The sequence below is a fragment of the Homo sapiens genome, chromosome 13, assembly GCF_000001405.40.
Source record: "Homo sapiens chromosome 13, GRCh38.p14 Primary Assembly".
NCBI classification, from domain to species: Eukaryota; Metazoa; Chordata; class Mammalia; order Primates; family Hominidae; genus Homo; species Homo sapiens.
Window position 1 is genome coordinate 58,926,816 of NC_000013.11, and position 24,382 is coordinate 58,951,197.

A 24,382-nucleotide genomic window follows, 5' to 3' on the forward strand; every position below is an offset into this window, starting at 1 on the left:
CATCAGACTGCATAGTCCATTACCAAAACATGGAGCCCAGAAAAAGGTATAAAGAAAGTTGTTTATTTTAGTCTCAAACTATTGTAATTCTTATGAAATTCACTCTGAATACAGACTCAGGAGAGCCTACTATACCGTATCACTCTGCCATCTGCCGCTGCTCCAGATTCTCAAAGTGCAAGTGAGACCTTGTGCTTCTATGGGTGCCCACAAAGCAACTCATATCTGAGATCTGAGGGACCACATCTACCTTTCCAGATTCTATGCACCTTCTCATTTCCTCTTCCCCTACTATCTTGTCAGTCCATAAAGGTTTCTCATTCTTCCGCTTAACCATTACCACTTTAGAACAAAACCACCCTCTTCTCTCACTGGAGTGTCACTTTTCTGTGGTCATGAGTGTTTCTTTATCATTATTCTCTACATAGAGGTCAGATAATTTTTTTAGATGTAAATCCAGTTATGGCCCTCTTAAAATCATCTAATAAATTCCCATCCCTCTTAGAATTAGAATCAAATCCAAACTCTGCAAAACCCCAAAACACTGTGTTCTGTGTTCTGGCCTCTTTCCGACCACTGTCCTCTTCAATGTACTCTTTCCAGTGACTTTCATGTGTTTCCTAAAACACATTTAGTTTTGTCCTTCTGTCCCTCAGTATCTTCCCTCTGAGGGTTATACTTCTCTCTGATGAGATAGCCCCTCATCATTTAGGTCTTTGTTCAAAGTCACTTTCTCATAAAAACATCCTACCAACTTTATCTGGAAGAGTATCCTTCCTCCTTGCCAGATATTCTAATTTCTTGAAGAAATAATCATTTTATGAATTGTTTTCATATTTGTTAACTTCTTAAGGCATAAACATTACATGGTTCACTACTGTACCTCTAGCAACAAAGTAATATCTAGCATGTAATAGGAGCTCAATACTATTTGAATGAAGGAATGCCCACTTCCCACTCCTAATCTCTGTACTATCTTCTCCATTTAAGCTGAGGTGATCAGTTATTCCAGTTTCCGTCTTTTCTTTGTTTTGTTTTGTTTTGTTTTATGTTTTTCCTGGATGAAGCTGGAGGAAGATTTTAGATACCGGGAAGGGAAAGAAAGGATGAAAGGAAGGAAGGAAAAATGGAAGGGAAAGAGAGAGAAAGAAGGAAGAAGCAAGGGAGGGAAGGAAGAAAGAAATTCTGATTAGAAACTTCAGAGTTTAATTGGGCAATTTATACAAGAAGGGGGTAAACCTCCTAGCATATTTTTAATATTTTCTAATACAAAAAAATTCTTCCTCTTTATTCACTGGTTTTAGTTGCATTACAGAAGGTTCCCTTGAATTTTCTTGCTTGTTCAGTTCTGTATTCAAAGAAAGGCAGTGGGGATTATCCTGTGCACCCAGACCTCAAGCCCTCAGGCTCATAGATGCCACATAGACGTTAAAGAAAAAGGAAAGTTATTACAGCCTCAAAAGCTAAGATATTTTAAAGGAACTAGGAGAATGGACTGGGAAATATTGAGATATGGAAAAGAGTAGGTAGAGCAGAAAAACTTGCTGAGTGATGGACATGGACACTGAGAGTGTGGAATCAAAGAGTTGTAGGTGTTTTGCTTGATAAATCGGTTAATATTGGAATAATTTTGTAGATGAAAAGTTGGAGAAAAGGTCGGTTAGGAGAATGCTTTTAAATATATGGTTCTATATTTGTGATGTCTATTAGAAATGGAAATATTAATGTTGATGAAAAGAGTCAAACTCTGTAAAATATTTGAAGAGATTTATTCTGAACCAAATATGAGTGATGAATGGCTCATGACACAGCCCTACAGCCTTCAGGAGATCTTGAGAACTTGTGCCCAAGGTGGTATGGCTACAACTTGGTTTTATACATTTTAGGGGCATAAGACATAAATCAATACATGTAAGATATATATTGGAGGATCAGGGGTTGGGGAGGGTGGGAGGGTGGAGTGTTGGGGAGAGTGCAGGAAGGCTCCTAGGTCATAGATTTTCTGATTGGCAATTGGTTAAAATAGTTGTTATCTAAAGACCTGGAATCAACAGAAGGGAATCTCTGGGTTACAATAAGGCATTGTAGAGACCAAGGTTTTATCATGCACATGAAGCTTTCTTGTAGCAGGCTTTAGAGAGAATAGATTATAAACATTAATATTTCTTATCAGACTTGAAGAATCTGTTCTATCCATAATTACAAAAGTGAGAAGGATATAATGAGGGCTGTCTAGCTCCCCCTTCCCATCATGGCCTGAACTAGTTTTTCAGGTTAGTTTTGTAATGCCTTTGGTCAAGAGAAGGGGCTCGTTTAGATGGTTGTAGGGATTAGAATTTTATTTTTGGTTTACATTAAGTTGGTGGTCAAAGGTATGATTCTAGGTTAGGGCAGACAGAAAGAATAAAAATAATCGATAAGGTATAGAATGTTTTGCAAACCAAAAGCATGTGAGATCACCTTTATGATTTCAACCCAATCATGTCCATTGCATTATATCATAACATATTTTTAAGAGCCATTGTATTACCCTAATATAAAATTTACATGCTAAATATCCTTTTATATCCATAGTTGTTAAATCTATACTACTTTAATAAGTATAAAGAAGAAATAAAAATAATTTAATTTATATTATTTAATATACATTTCAATATCAAATGTTCAGATATGGCTATACTAAATATACCTTATCATATATAAGTTCATAGTTGAATAAGTGAGACAATATTCCATTTAAAAATGGTCACAATTTTTTTTCTATTTAACATTTAAAATAAGAGGAGAGAAGAAGGATTTGGAGGTCGATGTTTGATATTAATATACTTCAAAATCAGAAGATAAAGTAAAATTGTATTTTAGTTTCCTATTACTGCTGCTAAGAAATTACCAAAAACTTAGTGATTTAAAACAACACAAATTTGTTTCTTTTAGTTCCAGATATCAGATATCCCAAATCAAGGTTTTGGTAGGGCTGCTTTCTTTTCCGAGGCTTCAAGGGAGAATCTGTTTCCTTGCTTCCATATTCTAAAGGTCACTTGCGTTCTGTGGCTCACAGATTCTTCCTCACACACACCAATCTTTTGCTTCACTCCAACCTCTTCTTCATTGTCAACATCTCCCACTGTCTGACTCTGCCTCCTCTTGTATCCTTTTGTTAAGTATCCTGTGAGTACAGTGGGCCCACATCCACATGAATATTCCAGGATAATTTTCCCATCTCAAGATTCTTAACTTGATTACAACTGCAATGTCTTTTTTGCCATGTAACATTCACAGGTTCTGGAAATTAAGACATGAATATCTTTGGAACAGGGAGGGGCACATTATTCAGCTCACCAGTTTTTGTTCTGGTAGCTTCTATTTTCCTCAATTAAAAAAAAAGTGAGATCATCCAATGAAAGTGAGAATAGGGAGACAGATTATAAGAGGTTCAAAGAAAGAAGAGAAGGTGTGAAAACATCAACTCAGAGAGTGGAAAAGGAATTGACCTAGTGAACAGAGTAAAAATACTTGTTGTTTCAAGGACCACCTCAAATTAGAATCATTAATTTAAAATAGGGCCATTACCACAGTGTAATAGGCCTCCAGCCTCACTAATCTTCTTGAATGCTGGTGAATAGTCAGGAGACAGCTGGGCTTAACAGGATTGGAGTTTACCAGATTAATGCTGCAGAAGGAAAGGGATGCTAAACTGAATTTAAAAGAAAAGGAATAGATAGGACATATAGACAGTGGGAAAGTAATAGGGTCAGTCAGTGATCACAATTGGTGGGAGATGGTTGGAATGTGGGGCCATCAAAGATGAACTATGCAAAATTGCAATATGGAAGGTATTAAAGTTTTGATCATGATGAGGTCTAAGTTATAGCCATGCAAAAGAAGATAACTACTCTACCCCTAGGCTTTGCATATCTGAAGTATATGTTAATAGCCATGTACCATAACTGCCATTATAAAAACCATAAACAAAAATACCTGTGGAAAAGCAGTGACTTTAGGAGAATGATTTGAAATACAAAAAAAAAAAAAAAAAAAAAAAAACAGATTAATGGAATGTTTACGGAATAAATTATGTATATAGGTTTCAAAGGCTGGGATTTGTTTTCCAACAATACCTATGTTGAAGTCCTAACCCCCAGGACCTCAGAATGTGATTGCATTTGAAGATAGGATTTTTAAAGAGGTAATTAAGTTAAAACGAAATCGTTATTGTGGGCCCCGATTCAGTATGATTAGCACCTTTATTAGAAGAGGAAATTTGGATACAGTTATAGAGAGAAGACCATGTGAAGAGACAGGAAGAAGATGGCCATCTATAAGCTAAGGAAAAAGGCCTCAGAAGAAATCAGTTTGGAAACACCTTGATCTCAGATTTCTAGCCTCCAGAATTGAGGGAAAAAAGATTGATGTTTAAGCCATGCAGTTTGTGGCACTTTGTGATGGTGGTCCTGGAAAACAAATACAATCTGAGTTCCAGAGGATGTGGTCAACGGGTTTGATGAGTTGAGATGGGGAGTGATCAGATCATGAGTCAAATTACAGAACAAGCAGAAAAAGAATGGAGATAGGAATATGGTGATGTTAAATGACCTATAAAACTCAAACTTCTTGTATTTACTGAAGAAAACAGAAATACAGGATATACCAGGATTAAACCTGGTGGTCTTTTATGAAAAGAATACTACTTAACTCGAAGTATGGTTTGCATCATGGAATTAATCTTTTAGATAGTAGTGAAGAGGCAAGAATTTTTAAGGATATTAACAGTCTTATCACTACATGATTATTAATTCATAATACATTGGAAAAGAAGGATTTCTGATAAACAGTAAACTAGTAGCTTTTTAATTTGATGACATAGCTAAAGAAATGAGTGATGCTGACAAAATTTTCTGTAGAATGTAGGACTAACCAAGTCCAATTAAGAAAAAAGCCAAAGAAATAGAGCACATGACACACAGTGCCGTATGTATATATATATATATAGAGAGAGAGAAATCTTAAATACTTGCTGAAGAAAACAGCACATCAATTAGTGCCACTGGAAATAGCCAGACTGAATTATGAAGAAATGTCAGGAGTGGAAAATAAGAGAAAGTTTAAGTCGGTCATTTAATTCACGTACAATTGTGATACACTGCAAACAAAAGCCCTGAGAAAAACAGCACAGTGTAGGAGAGTAAAGTCATTGGAAATCACAGACCCACTTTTCAGATAATGAGACCCAGATTTATAATTGGGAGCTGCATTTTCTGCAATTTTCTGAGGGAATATCTTTTTAACTTTCAGCAACTGAGGGTATTGGCAAGTACTTGACAACTCATATCTTAATAAGCAAGAAAGACCAGCCAATCAATAAACTGTGAAATGACAAATATTAGCAATTAGTGTTGAGTCTAAACTGTAGCCACATCAGAAGGTAAATACTCTCCCAAGCATTGCTCTTTAAGTACTGGTAATATGTACAGGCTTTGATGTTGTATTCCAAATACAGTGAGCCTCAGCCTAGAGACTCTTGCATTAATCACGGCTTACTACCCTAACCAATATATAGTGGCATCAGACTTTTGACGTAGCAACTTTCTAATCACTAGGGAAATTAGCAGCATTTTCTTTTGTGTTGCTTGCAGTTCCATTAACTCCTACTTGAATCTATTTTGTTTCTGTTTTGTTTATTACACATATATAGCAGGTACTTAACGTTGCTTCATTATTCAGGATAAATGTCCATCTTTGTTTCTCCTTCTTGCCGTACATGAAAGAAACAGTATATAAAGAGAGGCTTGAGTTTCCTCCTTGAATTTACCACATACATAAAAGAGAAGATGAAGTTGTCCTTAACTTTTCTAGAAGAACTTTATGACTAAATGGTCACCAAGCAGGAGAAATTATACTAATTAATGTGGCAAAATTCAAAAGCTGTAGCCAACAACTATAAGGAATAAGTGAAGTTAATATTGTTGGAGTTTAAGCTGTTAATAGAAAGCAAAAAGTGCTCAGTTTTCCATTTGTGAAATGGGGAGCTTAGAGTAGTGAATATAAAATAAATAGATAAATAAAACTAACTTTCAGAGGAAGGTCTTAGAGAATGATGTCTAAGAGGAAGAGCCATAGGATTATACAGAGCTCTATCACTTTATAGCTTTGTACATTTAATTCACTAAATTTCTTCATTTCTAAAATGTGGACAGTAATAAATATGCCTTGTATAGTTCTATAAGGATTAAATTAGAGTATAAGAAGCATTTATAACAAAGCCTCAGACATCATAACATCCAATAAATATTAGCAGTGTTAGTTGTGATTATTATCATAATTATAAATAATTTTACTAATATTTATTGCATTTCTACCATGTGAAAAGTGATTACAATAAAAAGCAATTTATATATCTTAAGAGTGACAATCAATTTGAAAAGTTCAGTTTGAAATTTTATCACCCAATTTTTCCCCCTCCGCCATTTTCACAACTCCAGTCTAACCACCTGAATGCAAAATTATACTCCTCAGCAATTTAAATTATGCCATTATTCCTTTGCTCATTTTTATCACAGATTTAAGCTCTACAGTGCTATGAAACCTGCAGACACAGAAGTTCATGATTTATGTATGTATTTGATAGCCTCACCCCTGACATCCTAGCCTCAAATCTAGACTCTTAAACTGCCTACTTAGCTCTGTTAACTGATTTTAATCTTGCATATTAGAGAAGTCATTCAAATGTTCTTAGGCATTATCATCTTGGCACTTTAATTGAAATATATCTTTACATTTTAAAAAAAAGGAACATAACAGTGAATAAAAGCAGCCCTTTACTCACACAATGTATGCTAATGTTGACCCAACTGCTGTTGGCTTTTCAAAGGACTCCTGTGATTTCCTGGAATTTCCTGAACTCAGCACTTTGATGATCATGGATATTTTAACTTCATTGCTCTCCCAATTGCAAAGGAGCTTTTGACATTTGGATTTTGTGTTCATTTAATGGCAACTGCAATTAAAGCTTTCCCACATCAATGAGCTAACTTTCTAAGGCCACTTCAAAGGGTGAATTCAATATTCACATTCCATGATGCTTATTGATCTGTGTGCTACTATTTGTGTGACTGGAAAACTACTCATTAGAAAATTTCCTGATGCCATTGATACAGAATAGTGAACAGAACTAATTTCACTCAAGTATTCTGCATTTGTGTAATGAGAACATAGCTTAAGCCTAAATAACACATTGGTTAACATGAGGCATATATATAGGAAAAAAAAAAGCCAAAATCTCAGGCCTGACCAAACAATGCTTATTTAGAGAGGATGAGTATCCAAGCTGCAGTTATGGATCTCTGAGAGTGCATAGTCACTTCAGAATCACTTTTAAACATTCTCCCAAGAATCTGGAGATTCAGAAAGCTCAGAGCCAGAAGCCTTCCACTTGAGCCTCATGAACTCAAGTGGATTTAGGACTATGTGATACCCACCCCAGTTTCACATGGTAGAAGTGAGACATTGCCTTTTTTGAGTCCTATCGACATTTAACACTAGGTTTTTCTGTTGCTGGCACAAATATTTTCAATTTCAGTTTGATTTTTACCAGATAGAAAGACATAGAAAAAAAGTAAAACAAAGAACCCCAGAACAATTTAGGACTGCGTTGTTTAATGAGGACCTGCCCAGGATTATATCTACATATTAAAAAGTAGATGGGAGAATTATTATAACTCTCTAAGTATGCTGTTAAACAATTCGTCTTTGTTAAAACATCTATTCACATAATTTCCAAACTTTTTCCTAATGCATACTGCCAGGTGAGGTATCAGAGCCCTGTCATCAGTAGGTGGTCAACTGGCGGGTTGGTAAAAAGAATTTACTGACAACAATATAGGTTTGAAAAAGGAAAGTTTATTGGAAAGAAAACGCTGCAGAAGAGTGCAGCATGGTGCCTCAGCAAGAGGGCTGAGCGTGCCATGGTGGATTTTTCATTAGGAACATTTATGGACCTTAAGGCAGGAGCTTAAGGGAAATTTGGACCATATTAGCCATGTAGGTCATGATAAGTGATTACATTTGTAGACATTTTGGTGCCTTAATGTCAGCAAGGGTTGAACAGTGAGTTTTGGCATGGCATTCGGGAGATGTATAGAAATTCTAGTTACTTATAAATTTTACAGGGGCAGGGAAAGAAATCTGGAACCAGATGCCTGCTTTAGATAGTAGAGAAGTCTGATTACTTCTGATTTCCCCAGATAAGGAGTTTTGACTTTGGATGGCCTGTTTGATAGTCACCAGGTGGTCTTTGCTCCCTTCTAAGTGCCTCAGATAAGGAATTTTTGTCTCCAGGGCCTGTTCAATGGCCACTAGGTGATTTTGCTCTCCTCACATACCTAAAAAGAATCTTCTCAAATTATCCGGTCATCAGATGAGGAATGAAATGAAAGCTTTCACTCAGCTAACATTTTTTCCTAGGCTTGGTATCTTTTCATTCACCAAAGTAAAAAACTATTTTAATTACTTTTGGCATGTGTACTTCTATAAGCAAGAAATAAAAGAGAATATAGAATAATCAAAATCATTTGGAAATTCAGATCCCCTTTTTCTGGAGCCCTTTTTACTTCAAGAGAAAAAAAGGAGAATAGGTCAGTATCCTCAGATTCTGTGTCCTGAACTTGATGCAGTTGTGCTGAGAAAAAGCAATAAATTTTCGCTCATACTTAAGTAGGAAGGAAGTAAATATATAAAAGAAGAGGAGAGAATTAGATATATATTCCTGCCAGCTCATTCTTTGCCTCAGAGTACCCAGTGACAAGAAAGAAGCTGATTTTTGCTAATATTCTCTGTCTTTTCTATTAATAGCTAATAAATTGCACAGTTGTTAAAGAGACATCAACAGGCGGTACACATTAGTGTTTTAATGTTGTTAAAAGTAGTAAATTTGTGAAATTGTTAAAGGATTCCTTCAGTGCCACTTTGCCAGCCAGAAATCTCTGCGGCCACCGCTGCCTTTGTCTGGGCCTCACTCAGGGCCCACTGGACTCACTCCACCTGCTCGGCCTAGCAGGCTATGCTGAGCTTGTAACCCGGCCCAGATCCCTCACCTGCCATGGCTCTGTGCTCAGCCTGTGGCTGGACCAGATGAGCCACAAGTGGCTTCTGCCTTGGGTGCCAATGTCTAGATGAGAGAATGGGATAGCACTCAAAGAATAGGAGATGCCAGCAATCACAGAGACCCAAGGGGTGTTACAGCTCTTACTCAGGGAGTCCTGAGGTTTGAGCCCCCAAGAGATGTTGCAGCTCTTCGTTCTCGTAGTGTGGCAACCTGGCATGTGTCTTACAGCTCTTTTTGCACCCACTGTTCAACAGGTTCTGGGTCCTTGTCCCACAACCAAGTGGAATGAAATATTGGACACGGGAAAGTGAGCAAGGCAGACAAGAATTTTACTGAGTGACAGAAAAGCTCTCAACATGTGAAGGGACCTGAAGCAGGTAGCCATCTGTGAGGCTGAGTCTGGAGTGATTATGGGCTTAGAATAGGGGAGTGTATACTGATAAATCCGTGATTGGGCTTTGGAAAAACACCATTCCATTGGTTAAAAGGCATCATCCAGAAGGAACCAATACAATAGAGAGAAAGGGTAAGACAGGGATAGAGTTTCCCACTCTCTCTCGTCCTGGACTCTATCTAGAACTGGCAGGTTTTAAACTGTCTTTGGCTTGAAGGTTTTAAACTGTCTTTGGCTTGAAGGTCAGGTTTCACCAGTGACCTGTCCCTGTCTGACTAGGAATTTGTCTGTTTCATGTTGCTATCAAAATGTAGCAGTAGTACAATTTTTGTAATTAGGTCCTCATATGGTTTCTTGCAATTATGAGTTTGGTTGTTATCATCTCCTTTTACAGATAAGGACATTGAAATTCAGAATACTCAATGACTAGCCTTGGGTAAGCTGGCCAGTCAATGGCATAAATGGTAATAGCAACAGATATTTTCATAGCTATGTGGGGCAAGATCATTATACACATGTAAGGAATATGCAAATTGTTGTACATGGAGAAAATATGGAGAAAAGGAGACAAGCAATTGTAATAGAATATACAATTTTTACCAAAATTATTTTTCTGTGTGTGTATGTGTGGAAAGAGAAATTGAGAAGCAATTAGAATAATAATTGTGTGTCTTGTTCTAGAAGACCAGAGAGGAAAAATAAACCAATAGGACCATAAAAGCAAAAGCAAAAAGAGTTGCTTCATAAGTTGAATGGTAATCGTCATAAAACAATAAATGTAATTCTGTTTCATTTTCATAGTCTATTCTATGAAAAGACTATTTTATCTAGGTAACAATACTGGACATTTTTCAATACATGTTTTGAGTTTTTCCTTGTATGATTTGAAAACTAAATAATATGAACAAAGAAAACTCTCATTTAAGTAGACAATAAACTCTTAAGGTTTCTTTCTACTTACCATCTATCTAAATAATATTAGATTGGTGCAAAAGTAATTGTGTTTTTTGCCATTGAAAGTAACCAAGACCAATTACTTTTGCACCAACCTAATATTAACAAAATATAACCATTTCTATCAACATATGAAATCATTTATATACATTTTATTAAACACAAATATAAATATTATTTATTAAGTCCCTCTCTGTAATTTTCTAATTATAACCAGATTTCTACATACCATTCTTCTAAGATGGACAGGTTGTGGGTAAATGATTTTGGGAGATAACTTACAAAATGAAAAATATGATTTATTCATTCACTTATTAAGTAATATTTCATGAATGCCTACCACATGATCAACATTGCGCTGGTTTCTAGAAATGTCAGAAACTAGAACATATGGTCTCTACCAAAAGTAGATCAGTAGAGGAGACAGATAATTGAACTGAAGATAGCTCTATAGTGTGATGCTTAGGATAACTGAGGCAAGTATCCTTACCCCTCATCTAGTTCACCACAAATTACTATTTACTCTGCCTTCAAAATGCATTATGAGTCTATCCACTTCTATTCCACCATTAGCAAATTACTCCAACCTTCTACTAGCTCTCTTCTCAACTACTTCAATTGCCTCCTACCTGTTCTTCTACAGTGTGATGCTTAGGATAACTGAGGGAAGTACAGTGTGCAATGGAAGCATACTAGAGAAATCTTAACCCAGACTGGAGAGATCAAGAGAGGCTTCCCCAGGAGACGATATCTGAGCATCTGAATCTTTATGAATGACAATGATGTAGCCAAGTATCATGGAGTAAGTTTTTGTGGGGAGAACCAAGATAGTATTGTAAGTCTCTAAAAATATTCTTAGGGTCATAGTCAAGGCATACTGAGTGCAGAGTGGCTAGATCAGGAAGGTCTGTGAGTGATATACTTTGTCTAGAACATTAGATATATAAGGAAAGATGAAAGGAGACCAAAATCCAATATTCAGATCACAAAGAGACGTGTGTTGTATTAAAGGAATTATTTGTGTAAGTGTGTTTGTGTATATAAGAGTCGGTTCAATACTTGCCTTTTTGCTTGAAAAAGATGTCGATTTGTAGTTTGGATTTCATTTTGAAATATCTACTAAGATTCTTGAAAATGAGAATCACAAATATAAAGAGAATCTCTTTTTGGTCAGAAAAATATTTTCTATTGCTCACCTATCGCACTCCTTCCCACCACAAACTGGTGTTCTGCAGAATTATCTGCATCACTTTTTTCAGGAAGGATAGTTTTATCTTCTTAAAAGATAATAACAAACATATGTCATAAAGAATAGGGATTGATAATCCTTGTAATTTTATCTGTGCTAATGTAAATACAAATGCTATTCATATTTCTCACATATTGAAGATTTGTCACAACAAAAAATAGATAATACAAGTAGAATATTAAAAGCACTGTTGCAAATATTCCTTCTCAACAAGGTAGTTTACACTCCATTGTCAGTAGAATATTTTTAAGTTGTTTGCCTGAATAGTGTGTAAGGTAAAGAATTTGACAGGTTAATTATACATTGCTTTAAAAAGTATTTTCTAGCATTTTATTTGAAATTGGTTGTGTTTTAATTTCTTTGATTCTCCTGATGCTCTTTTATTATGGAACCACAAAAACACCTCTTTATCTGTGAGAGAGAAACCCTTCTCCCCTCGTTAAGAGGCCTCTGTTCATACTTTCTGTTGATTCCTCCCCAAGGCAAAACAAGTTACGGATCTGCACGGCCAATGCCTGAGAAATTATTTGAAGGCAAATTTTACTACTAATGCCTTAGAAATCATGCACCATATTCAATTTTCAAAATATAAGCACCTCTAAGTAAGTTTTCTGTCCAGTTAGCTGTTCTGTTCTGTTCTGACCATCTTCTTCTCTTACTTTCTTCTTCTTTCTTTCTTTTAACTTTTATTTTAGGTTCAGAGGTATGTGTACAGGTTTGTTATAAAGATAAATTGCATGTCAGTGGGTTTAGTGAACATATTATTTCATCACCCAAGTAATAAGCATAGCACCGAATAGGAATTTTTTTTATCCTCTCCCTTTTCCCACCCTCCACCCTCAAGTAGGCCCCAGTGTCTGTTGCTCCCTTCTTTGTGTCCATATGTTCTCAGTGTTTAGCTCGCACCTATAAGTGAGAACATGTGGTACTTGGTTTTCTGTTTCTGCATTAGTTTGTGTAGGATAATGGCCTCCAACTCCATCCATGTTGCTGCAAAGAATATGATCTTGTCCTTTTTTTTGGTTGCACAGTACTCCATGGTGTATATATACCACATTTTCTTTATCCAGTCTACTGTTGATGGGCATTTAGATTGATTCCATGTCTTTGCTTTTGTGAATAGTGCTGAGATGAATATACTCGTGCATGTATCTTTATGGTGGCATGATATATATTCGTTTGGGTATATACCCAGTAATGGGATTGCTGGGTTGAATGGTAATTCAGTTTTAAATTCTTTGAAAAATCACCACACTGCTTTCCACAATGGCTGAACTAAAAGAAACTATGTTGGACAAGGATAGGACACAATCCCACCCATTTTAGATTCAAGAAAAGGAAATTGAAACAAAAAATTTGATTTGGTTCTTGTGACTTAAACAGTGTTCTCCATTTCAGCTTATCAGAGCTCTAACTCAGAAATTGTTCAGGATTTGGCTGTTAAAGCTGCACTTCATTTGCTATGTGGCCATGGCTCCTAGTAAGTGTCATTCTTTCAGACAGAACTGCAGAGTGGAGGAGTTCTGAATGTCAAAACCATTGAGAGACCAGCTATACAACAGACCAAATAGCAGCTAACTATGCCCTTCAAGCCATTTTTCTATTAGTTATAAGGTACTTTCCCCGATCTTTGATCATCATGAAGAAAGGTATCCACAAATCTATTGGTAGACTGGTAATTTTTATACCTACTATAACTTTATATATTTCCCATTCATATCTCTTTAGTATACTCCAGATTCATATTTTCAAAGTCTGTGATATCACAACATCTACATCTATTAGGTGTCATGAATATATGCAGACCAAAAGTCTGTCCTTTCAAAAACCTTCCCCATCGTAGTCAAACTTGATTTCTCCCCCTACTCTTTACTCACCCCTTACCCCTCATTTAGTCCACCACAAATTACTATTGACTCTGCCTTCAAAATGCTCTATGGGTCTATCCACTTCTATTCCACCATTAGCAAATTACTCCAAGCTTCCATCAGCTCTCTTCTTAACTACTTCATTTGCCTCCTACCTGTTCTTTTTGCTTCACATTACTTAATCTTCATGCACAGCAGTCAATCAAATTACAGCATTTTGCTGTTTAAAACGCTTCAATGTCCTCCAATATATACTTTTTGAATATATGCAAGCTCAGTGTCTTAGCCTAAAAGATCATTTAAATGACTAGCCCCAAGCCTTCTGTCCCAGTCTCCTGTCTTACCATTTTCTTCCTCCTTGATTTGTTTGCCACAAATACACTGGATTTTTATTTATTTACTTATTTATTTATTGCCTATGCTTAGAACATAACAAGAACATGTAAAATTACCAGCTACCCTTAGGCCTCTGCATTCACTGCCAAGATGTTCTTGTTTTTCACTTGCTGGCTCAAGTTTTCACTTGCTGGCTCATTGTCACCTTCATGAATTTGAGGCTTATTTTATTTATTTGTATCACATATACTATCTAATACATGCATTAAAGTAATACTTTTTGCTCTAAGTAATGTATTCCGTAGATTTCTAAATGTAATACACTATAATTCATTTTTAACAGGCTCTAATGTCTGCTTTTTTGCTTTACTTAACTATTCCTTAGAAGGGCATTATTTAAACTCAAGGTCAAGGTGCCATTTTTTCTTCTGCTCTGAATTCATTAATTTAATATGTATTTATTTGCATTATGATCAGAAAATGTAGCTAGAGTGGCATGATAATATCGGCAGTTAGGCAGTTTTCTCTGTGACCACATTTTTAATGATCTTTTTCCTCAATGTTTCTAGGTATTTTAGAAGAATGTGTGCTTTGGCATGCACAGAAACACACATAGCAATGTAGTGTCTTATATAAGGTTATGAATCTACAGTTTGTGTAATGAGAGTCAATGTTGTTGAAACGTTCCTTGAGAATGTTCCATTTTGGTAACTTAAATACCTTTCTCAGAGAGCAACACTGGAACAGATTGATGGGTCTTCTGATGAGCACAAAATGAAGTTACTGGTTTATGTTTAGAGATCTACTTTTTACTTTCAAAAATGTATATTTAAACAATAGAAATATTCTTACCCTAATGCTATACACCATAAGGAGCAATGGAAAGCTAAAACTAAATGAGGCTTACATCTTGAGCTCCCTTTGAGAATATGTTCATTAACAGAAAATGAGTTCATAACAATCAGTTTTGCTCTTTGTTTTTTGATCTTGTTCTTCCTTTTTCTCTACCTATCAACCTTATAAGTTAATTTTCCCATTTAAGACTTTTTGCTGTATTTCTTATTTTGCCTGATATTAAAATTCACCCTTGTGTCAATTTCTTTAACTTGAGACCTGCATTTGACAATCTCTTATTTTCAAAGGTTTTGTGACTTTGTTTTAAACATAGCTCTAGTAAAGAAAGCATAGCTTTATTCTACATATTCATTTTACTGAATTTGAGAGTCTCTCCTTAGATGATGCAATACAGTTTTATTGTTATTATTCTTTTTATTTTTTCTTATTTTTATAATTTGAAATTTATATATTATATTGCTTTTCCTGTAAGTTTCCTTTGGACTTTAAAATACATATTTGAATATATATTTTCTATTAAAAGCTTCAGCAAATTTCTATCAAAATCTTTTTACTTCTTTTAAAATAACCCAGAATTGCAAATCTCTTTTGACATCATTCTTGGGGAAATACTTTCTAACGACTGCTTTCAGTTTTACAGACATATTATCGACTTTTCTATATGTAAATATAACTTTCTCAAGGGTAATAACACCTGTGGCAAACACATGCTCTATATGCTGAGGAAAGAATCTTTTGTCAGTCTTTCTGCTAAACCTCTTTATGAGAAGTATGGCTCTAACCTTTGCCTAACCCTTTCTCACATGTGTTTGGATGATATTTTTCTCTGCTCAGGTATCTCAATCACATTCCATCTATTTTCTATCTTCTAAATAAATGTTAAAAATACCAAATGGAGCCCAGGAGCGGTGGCTCACGCCTGTAATCCCAGCACTTTGGGAGGCCAATGCAGGTGAATCACCTGAGGTCAGGAGTTCGAGACCAACCTGGCCAACATGGTGAAACCCTGTCTCTACTAAAAATACAAAAATTAGCCAGGCATGGTGGTGTGCACCCATAATCCCAGCTACTCAGAAGGCTGAGGCACGAGAATAGCTTGAACCCAGGAGATTGCGCCACTGCACTCCAGCCTGGGAGACAGAGCGAGACTCTGTCTCAAACAAACAAAAATACCAAATGGCCTTTCTCTTTGTTTTCCAAAAGTATGAGTTTAATCTTTGTCCAACAGCTTTGTTGCCTTTTGTGGTTGTAAAGGTTGGGCTTGAGTAAAAACATAGTCTTAGTCTACCATCTTGCACTAAAAATTTAAAGTTATTTCTAGCTCTGGGGAACTTGGTGAAGAAAAAAATAAGTCATATAATTTCTGAAATGTTCTTTTGTCTTCCCTTTCTTCCATCTTGGTCTAACAAAACTCTTCCAACTTTTCAAAGACAATTCTTTGCACCACCTCTAGCTGCTTTCTCATCAGAACATCTCATTCACTATTACACTTTTGGTCTTCTTGGCATATACTTCCTCATTACTTACATAAATTTTTATCTTCTTCTCCAAGTTGATTCTTGAGGGTGGAATCTGTATTCATATTTTTAGGATATATTAGGTGCTATTACGACCTAATACAATACTTTGTGGAGAGTAAATACTCAATTAATACTTGATAGAAAAGAAAAATCTCAAATTTAAAGCATAACAGACCCTTGGAGATTATATAGCCCAATATTCTCACAATGTGGATGGCATAACTGGAACCTATTACCTCAAGGCCAATGCTCGAATCCAGACCACACTGCAAGTGTGGTCTTTATACTGAATGATGATCTCATAGACTGTTATACTTAAAAGAAAATATAAAATTACTTAGCACTCAAAGTAGAAATTTACAGCTTTGCTAATATCTTGACATGGAACTGTTGTGTGAATACTCTTAATGACTAAAAATGTCTCATTTGTACAGAGCAGAGTATATCATTTTTAAAAGGCTGTGATACAATGCTTTTACCTTAGCTGAATGAGACACACTTCACTAAATTTTCTTCTCATTAAGAACTTAATTCTCATATATTATCTCACTTCAGTTCCTCATCCACATTACAGTCCTTCAATTATTTTTAGCAATAACACTACACATATGTCAGAGACTACAAATGTATAGCAAACATGCTACTACTCACCCCATCATGATCATACAACACAAGCCACCTTTCTCACTGAGTCTAGATCTAACTTCAGAATCCTTCCTAACTCAGTTTCATGGGAAACCACTGTCAATGGATAGCCAGTGCCATATATGAGAAATGATATTATTATTTAAAATATTTACAGCCTCTTACTGGGATGCTAATTCTATTTTCCCATTCTCTGAAGAATGATTATACAGCATCATCTCAAACTGTGCAGTAGCCATTTGACTCAATTTGGCCAATGAAATGTGCATGGAAATGAACATGTCACTTGCAAGCAGAGCCTCAAGATCTAGTTTAGTTCATGGTTTTTAATGTCTCCCTTCCCTATCCCATAGGATCTTCTCTTTTAGTGAGGTCCCTGGAATGAAAAACATATCGAGAATAATTGCAGCAATATGAGTAAAAAATAAGCCTCTGTGTTGTTAGCAACTGATATGTGATGACCACTTATAGCTACAACATAGTCTATCCCCTCTTCACTTGTAAAGCATGTCAATGCATTTATTCATTTATTTATTCATAAAGATATATTCTCTAATCACATTATTAAGTTCTGGGAATACAGCTGTAAGCAAGATATGCATGCTCTTGACTCATAGACCTTAACATGAAAATGAAGAAGCTTTTAAAAATGTTTTTAAGCATAAATAAAAAAAAACTAGAGATTGAGATAAATGCTATGAATGGAACTAATTAAATTGCTATGTAATAGAGAAAAGGGGGATAGAAAAGTTGGGGTCTGATTTCGATACTGAGTTTAGAAAACTCCCTTCCAAGGAGATTACATTTATATTGAAGGTAGAAAAATATGACAATTAACAAGCTATGAGGGATCTAATTTAAAGTTGTAATGGATAAAGGATTATGGTCAAAAATCTGAAGACAGGCCGGGCGCGGTGGCTCACGCCTGTAATCCCAGCACTTTGGAAGGCCGAGACGGGCAGATCACGAGGTCAGGAAATCGAGAACATCCTGGCTAACACGGTGAAACTCCGTCTGTACTAAAAATACAAAAAAAATTAGCCGGGGGTAGTGGCGGGCTCCTGTAGTCCCAGCTACTCAGGAGGCTGAGGCAGGAGAATGGCGTGAACCTGGGAGGTGGAGCTTGTGGTGAGCCGAGATCACGCCACTGCACTCCAGCCTGGGCGACAGAGTGAGACTCTGTCTCAAAAAAAAAAAAAAAAAAAAAAAATTATTGAAAAGATTCCAGGAAGAGTTAAAGCATACTGAGCAATTAATTTATTCTAAGAGCAATGGGAGTCAATTGAAGGATTTTAGGCAAGGATGTGATGCTCATTTATTAAAGATAACTCTGACTACTATATGAAAAATTGGTTAGAAAGGACAAAGGTGGAAGTAAAAGAAATAGCTAAGAGACTCTTGAAGTAGACTTCGTTAACAATATGGTGGCTTAGATTATGATGGTAGCCATGGAAATTGCAAGCAAATTAAGGGTTTAATCTAAGAGTGGAATCGATGGGAACTACTAATGGAGTAGTTTAGAAGGTAATGCAAATAGCAGAACAAGAATGACTCCCGAGTGAAGTGGTGTCATTTCCTTACAGTCTGGCATAGGAAGACATTTTAAAGAGTGTTATGGCAAATGGAAATGGAGAATTCAAGTTTGGATCAACTCAGTTTGCTTTGTTGTGAAATGTTCAAATGGAGACACCAGGTAGACAACTAGGTACATGTGGCTGAAGTTCATGGGTAATATATGTGCTGGAGATACAGATTTGTGAGTTATCAATAGAAATGCCATTTAAAAGTATGGACATGAATATCACTTATTTGTGAAGACATATAGAGAAAGGCAAATGTAGATCCAGGATTAAGCCTGGGACAATGTCAAAATATGGGAGTTGAGGAAAGACCAGAGCCAATAAAGGAGACAGAGAATAATCAGTTATGAGAAAGGGGAGAATGCATAAAAATTGTATAACATAGGCATCATTAAGACTTTCCAAAATAGAAGGAGTGGTCAAATCTGCAAATTCTGTTGAGACACTAAGTAAGATAACAGCAAAAAGTGTTTATTAAATTTGGTAATATCAGAAGTGCTTAGAGACTTTAAAAATAGTAGAAACAGCAATCAGGACTAAGAGGACGACACATGAGTTATAACCAAAGAAGTGTGTGTCTCTCTTTGGAGAATTGAGACTATTGAAGAGGATCCCAGAAAGAGAAAAACACTGGAAAATGGTTATGAATCAGGGAAAGATTTTTTAAAGAATGAGAGGCACTAAAGCTGGTTTTATATTGATGGAAATATCTTATAGGAAAAGAAAGATTTATGATGTACTAGAATGAAATCATAACCATAGGCATGAATTCTTTGAGGTGATGGAAAGGGATGGAACCCAGAGCACACATGAAAGAAAGTTTAATAGGAGGATAATCCATTCCTTCATCTTCACATGAAGAAAAAAGGGACAATGGGTTTTCAAAAGCAGGCAGCTTTTCAGATAGTGTGGTAGGAAGATAAGGAATCTGAGATTCCCTAAGTGAAGCATGAGTAAACTGAGAGTGAGTAGAGAGCAGGAGAGAGAATTGTGATAATAGATGAGTATGTACATACATTGTATGAAATAGTTAGGAAGAATATCAAGCTAATAAAGTATAGCAGACTCAACATGTTGATTTCAAGTGTGGCTGCCAATGTGGTTATAAAATTGCCTTTGCAGGGTAAAGAGAAACAAATGCTGTGCTTTATCCAGGGTTGTGGTTTAGCTTGAGAGTATGACTGACAGAGAAAGGGGTAAGCAGTTATAAGCCACAAGACCTAAGCTAGAGAACAGGAAAATAAAGACACAAGGCCAATGGGTTACAAGTTGTGGGGCAAAAGTATGCGGTCAAAGGGTTATAGCATGGGAGTAGTTGGGCAAGTGAGTTGGAAAATTAGGAGGTAAAGGTCAGAGCAAAGGAAGCAATTTCTAATGCTATGTGTTATCCTGGTCTTACATCTTCCCTACTTCATCTGTTAATACAACTGTGATTCATTTATTAATCCCTGTTTTACTTTTTGTTTGCTCTTTGCCTCCAGTAATTTAACTATAGATATCCTCTTACACTATATGCATTTTTGTCAGCAATTTAAAAATCTTTTTGGAACAAAGCAAGGCATTAATTAATTAATTTGCACATTTCAATATACTTCTTTATATGATGATTTTTAGATAAATTGTCATCTCTGTCTTCCTTCTCTAAAAGGATTTCATTTATTTGCAATACACTTAATTAAATGAAATACCCAGAACTGTGCATAATCACCTAGAGATAAGTTAAAAGTGTCACAGTCAGCAACTAGACAAGCCAAGACTGGGACACAGGTCTCACAGCTCTTGTTCTATCTTTTGACCTGCATAGATAATTAACGATAACTGCAAATACTTACTGAGTGAGAACTTTCTTTCACAGAGTGCTTAATATTCTACATGGTTCGTTGTATTTATTTCTCAAAAATAAACATAATAGCCCATTTTGAAGACAGAACAACTGAGGCTTAGGAAAGTTAACTTGTTCAAAGTCATACAGCTAAGAAATAATAGAAACCAAATAAAAGTTCAAGGATTCTGAACCTGCAGTCCACCCTCCTTATCTCTGCCCAGTTGTTTTCTGTTGGTAGGCTCAAGTGGTATTTTTTTTTTTTTGCCTTATCAACCACTCATGCACTCATATTGAGTTGACAATGAATTACAATTACTTGGTTGCCTTCGCATGCAATCAGTCTATCAGCTTCTCCTTGCATGGTGCCAGAGACATAATAGGTACCTAATAAATATTTGATTCATTGAAGTTCTGTTCAAACAGTAGATTGGATAAATGCACTTCGCATATCTCCATTCCAATAATTAATTAAAACACTGATTAGAATAGGACTAGAAACTTCTCTCCATTATTCTTCTAGCATGAATGCTTAATTTACTATACCTATTTTAACTACATATAATATACAATCTCCAGTATACATTCTTCATCTTGTCCACAAAGATAATATGAGAGGCTGTTAAAAATAAAAATAAACTAGATTTTTCACTGTAATATTTACTTGATGTATCTAGGAACCATAGCCAAATTAAAAATGAAAATAAATTGACTTGTTTTGGTGAACCCATGGTGGTTTCTATTGATCATTGCTAGCTCTTCTGAGAATACAAAAACCATCTTTGTAATCTTTAATTCCATACATTTATCTCCAACATGTCCAGAAATCGTGCTGTTCCCTTTCATTTTTCCTAACATTTGTGAGCAATATCTGTCCCTTAATATGATTAATATACTTGGTCTCTCTTTTCCATTTTGTGTCGGGGGGGGCACTGAAGACTTTCACCAATAATTGCGTTCAGTTTTATTTTTTGCTGCTTGTTTCCATAGAATACAAAGAGTTCTTCACAAAGATGCTTAGAGTAGACCAACAGCAATGTTTTACTGTAACATAATTGATATGGTTTGGTTCTGTGTCCCCATCGAAATTTCACCTTGAATTGTAATCCCCATAATTCCTATATGTCAAAGGCGGGACCAGATGGAGGTAATTGGATCATGAAGGTGGTTTCCCCCATGCCCTTCTCATGACAGTGAGTGAGTATTATGAGATCTGACGGTTTTATAAGTGTCTGGAATTTCCCCTGCTTGCCCTCACTCCATCCTGCCCCCCTTTGAAGAAGGTACCTGCTTCTCCTTTGCCTTCCATCATGATTGTAAGTTTCTTAAAACCTCCAAGCAATGCAGAGCTGTGAATCAATTAAATCTTTTTCCTTTATAAATTACCCAGTCTTGGGTATTTCTTCATAGCATGTGAGAACGGACTAATACAATGATTTAAAGTATTAGCATAGTTCAAGAAAGAATATATCACAGCACTAAGGATGAGGATAGGGTAGGGTTGGCCTATAAAAGAAGCAGAGGAAAAGGAGATTCAGAAAGGAAAATATAGTCTGTAACACCATGAAGTTCTGCCAGGAGAAGAGAGATTCTCTTTTTCTTTTTCTTTATTCTTTTTATAATTTACAAACATTTATATATTTATGGTGTACAAAGTTGTATTAGTCCATTCTCACACTGCTCTAAAGAGCTACCTAAGGCTGGCTAATTTATGAAGAAAAGAGGTTTAATTGACTCATAGTTTCACAGGCTGTACAGGAAGAATGGCTGGGAGGCCTCAGGAAACTTACAATCATGGCAGAAGGTGAAGGGAAAGCAAGCACATCTTACCATGGTAGAGCAGGTTCAAGGGGGAAGTGGTACACACTTTTAAACAACCAGATCTTGTAAGAATTCTATCACAAGAACAGCAATGGGGAAATATGCCCTCATGAATCAATCACCTCCCACCAGACCCCTCCTCCAACACTGGGAATTACAATTCAATGTGAGATTTGGGAGAGGACACAGAGTCAAACCATATCAAATGAGATGTTTCAAAAAATGCATACATTGTGGAGTGGCTAAATCATGCTAATTAACACATGCATTACCTCACATATTGTTGCGGGAAGCCAGGGAACCCGAACGGAGGGACTGGCTGAAGCCACAGCAGAACAACATAGATTGTGAAGATTTCATGGACATTTGTTAGTTCCCCAAATTAATAGTTTTACAATTTCTTATGCCTGTCTTTACTGCAGTCTCTGAACATAAACTGTGACGATTTCATGGACATTTATCACTTCCCCAATCAATACTCTTATAATTTCCTATGTCTGTCTTTACTTTAATCTCTTAATCCCATCATCTTCATAAGCTGAGGATGTATGTCGCCTCAGGACCCTGTGATGATTGCGTTATCTATACAAATTGTTTGTAAAACGTGTGTTTGAACAATATGAAACCTGAGCATCCTAAAAGAACAGGATAACAGCGATTTTCAGGGAACAAGGGAGATAACCATAAAGTCTGACTGCCTGCAGGGCTGGGCAGAACAGAGTCATATTTCTCTTCTTTCAGAAAGCGAATAGGAGAAATATCGCTAAATTCTTTTCTCAGCAAGGAATAACCCTGGGACAACAAATGCATTCCCAGGGGGAGGTCTCTAAAATGGACGCTCTGGGAGCGTCTGTCTCATGCAGTTGTAGATAAGGGATGAAATACGCCCTGGTCTCCTACAGCGCCCCCAGGCTTGCTAGGGTTAGGAAATTCCAGTCTGGCGAATTCTAGTCAGACTGGTTGTCTGCTCTGAATCCTGTTTCCTGTTAAGGGGTTTATCAATGACAATGTGTGCCCAGCAGGACGTGGAACCTCAATAGTAATTCTAATTTCGCCCTGGCCTTGTGATCTTGCTCTGCCCCCATTTGCCTTGTGATATTTTATTGCCTTTGAAGCATGGGATCTCTGTGACCCACACCCTATTTGCACACTCCCTCCCCTTTGAAAATCACTAATAAAAACTTGCTGGTTTTGCGGCTCGGTGGCATCATGGAACCTGCCGACATGTGATGTCACCCCTGGAGACCCAACTGTAAAATTTCTCTCTTTGTACTCTTTCTCTTTATTTCTTAGACTGGCTGACACTTAGGGAAAATAGAAAAGAACCTATGTTGAAATATTGGGGGCTGGTTCCCCCAATATCTGGTAAAGAAAAAGGGCATCATGGAACCTGCTGACATGTGATGTCACCCCCGGAGACCCAGCTGTAAAATTTCTTTCTTTTGTACTCTTTATTTCTCAGACTGGCTGACACTTAGGGAAAATAGAAAAGAACCTACATTGAAATATTGGGGGCTGGCTCCCCCGATAACATATATATCATTTTAAGTGTAAGAATATTTCAAATCTACACTGTTGGCCACTTCAAGTATAAAATACACTGTTATTAACTGTAGTCACCATGCTATACACTAGAACTCATTCCTTCTATCTAACTGAAGTTTTATACCGTTTGACCAACATTGCACCAACAGCCCCATCCCCCAACCTCCAACCCCCAATAATCATCACTCTACTCTCTTCTAAGAGCTTGACTTTCTTAAACTCCACATGTATATAAGATTATGTGATATTTGTCTTTGCAGAAAGACAAATGGCTTATTTCACATAACATAATGTCTTTCAGATTTATCCATGTTGTCACAAATCACAAGATTTCCTTCTTTTTAAAGGCTGAATGGCATCCTATTGTGTATCTGTACATTTCCCTTTTCCATACATCTGATAAGGGGTTAATATCCCAAATATATAAGGAACTCAAACAACTCAATAGCAAGAAAACACATAGCCCAATTAAAAATTGGCAAAGAAACTGAGTAGATGTTTCTCAAAAAATAACCAATAGGTATATGAAAAAATGCTCAACATTACTAATCATCAGGGAGATGCAAATTAAAACCACAATGACATAGCACTTCACACCTGCTAGAATGGCTATTAACAAAAAGATGAAAGAAGAAAAGTGTTGGTGAGGATGTAGAGAAAAGGGAACTCCCACACAGTGTTTCTAGGAATGTA

The 24,382-nt window shown here is 36.3% G+C and overlaps 1 annotated feature.

Moving 5' to 3' along the window:
- Positions 22,912 to 23,413: an enhancer, noted in NCBI's record as "NANOG hESC enhancer chr13:59523861-59524362 (GRCh37/hg19 assembly coordinates)". NCBI's record gives its function as "activates a minimal SCP1, AML or CMV promoter by ChIP-STARR-seq in primed H9 embryonic stem cells {active_cell/tissue: H9 hESC(primed)}" and the evidence as "EXISTENCE:reporter gene assay evidence [ECO:0000049][PMID:30033119]".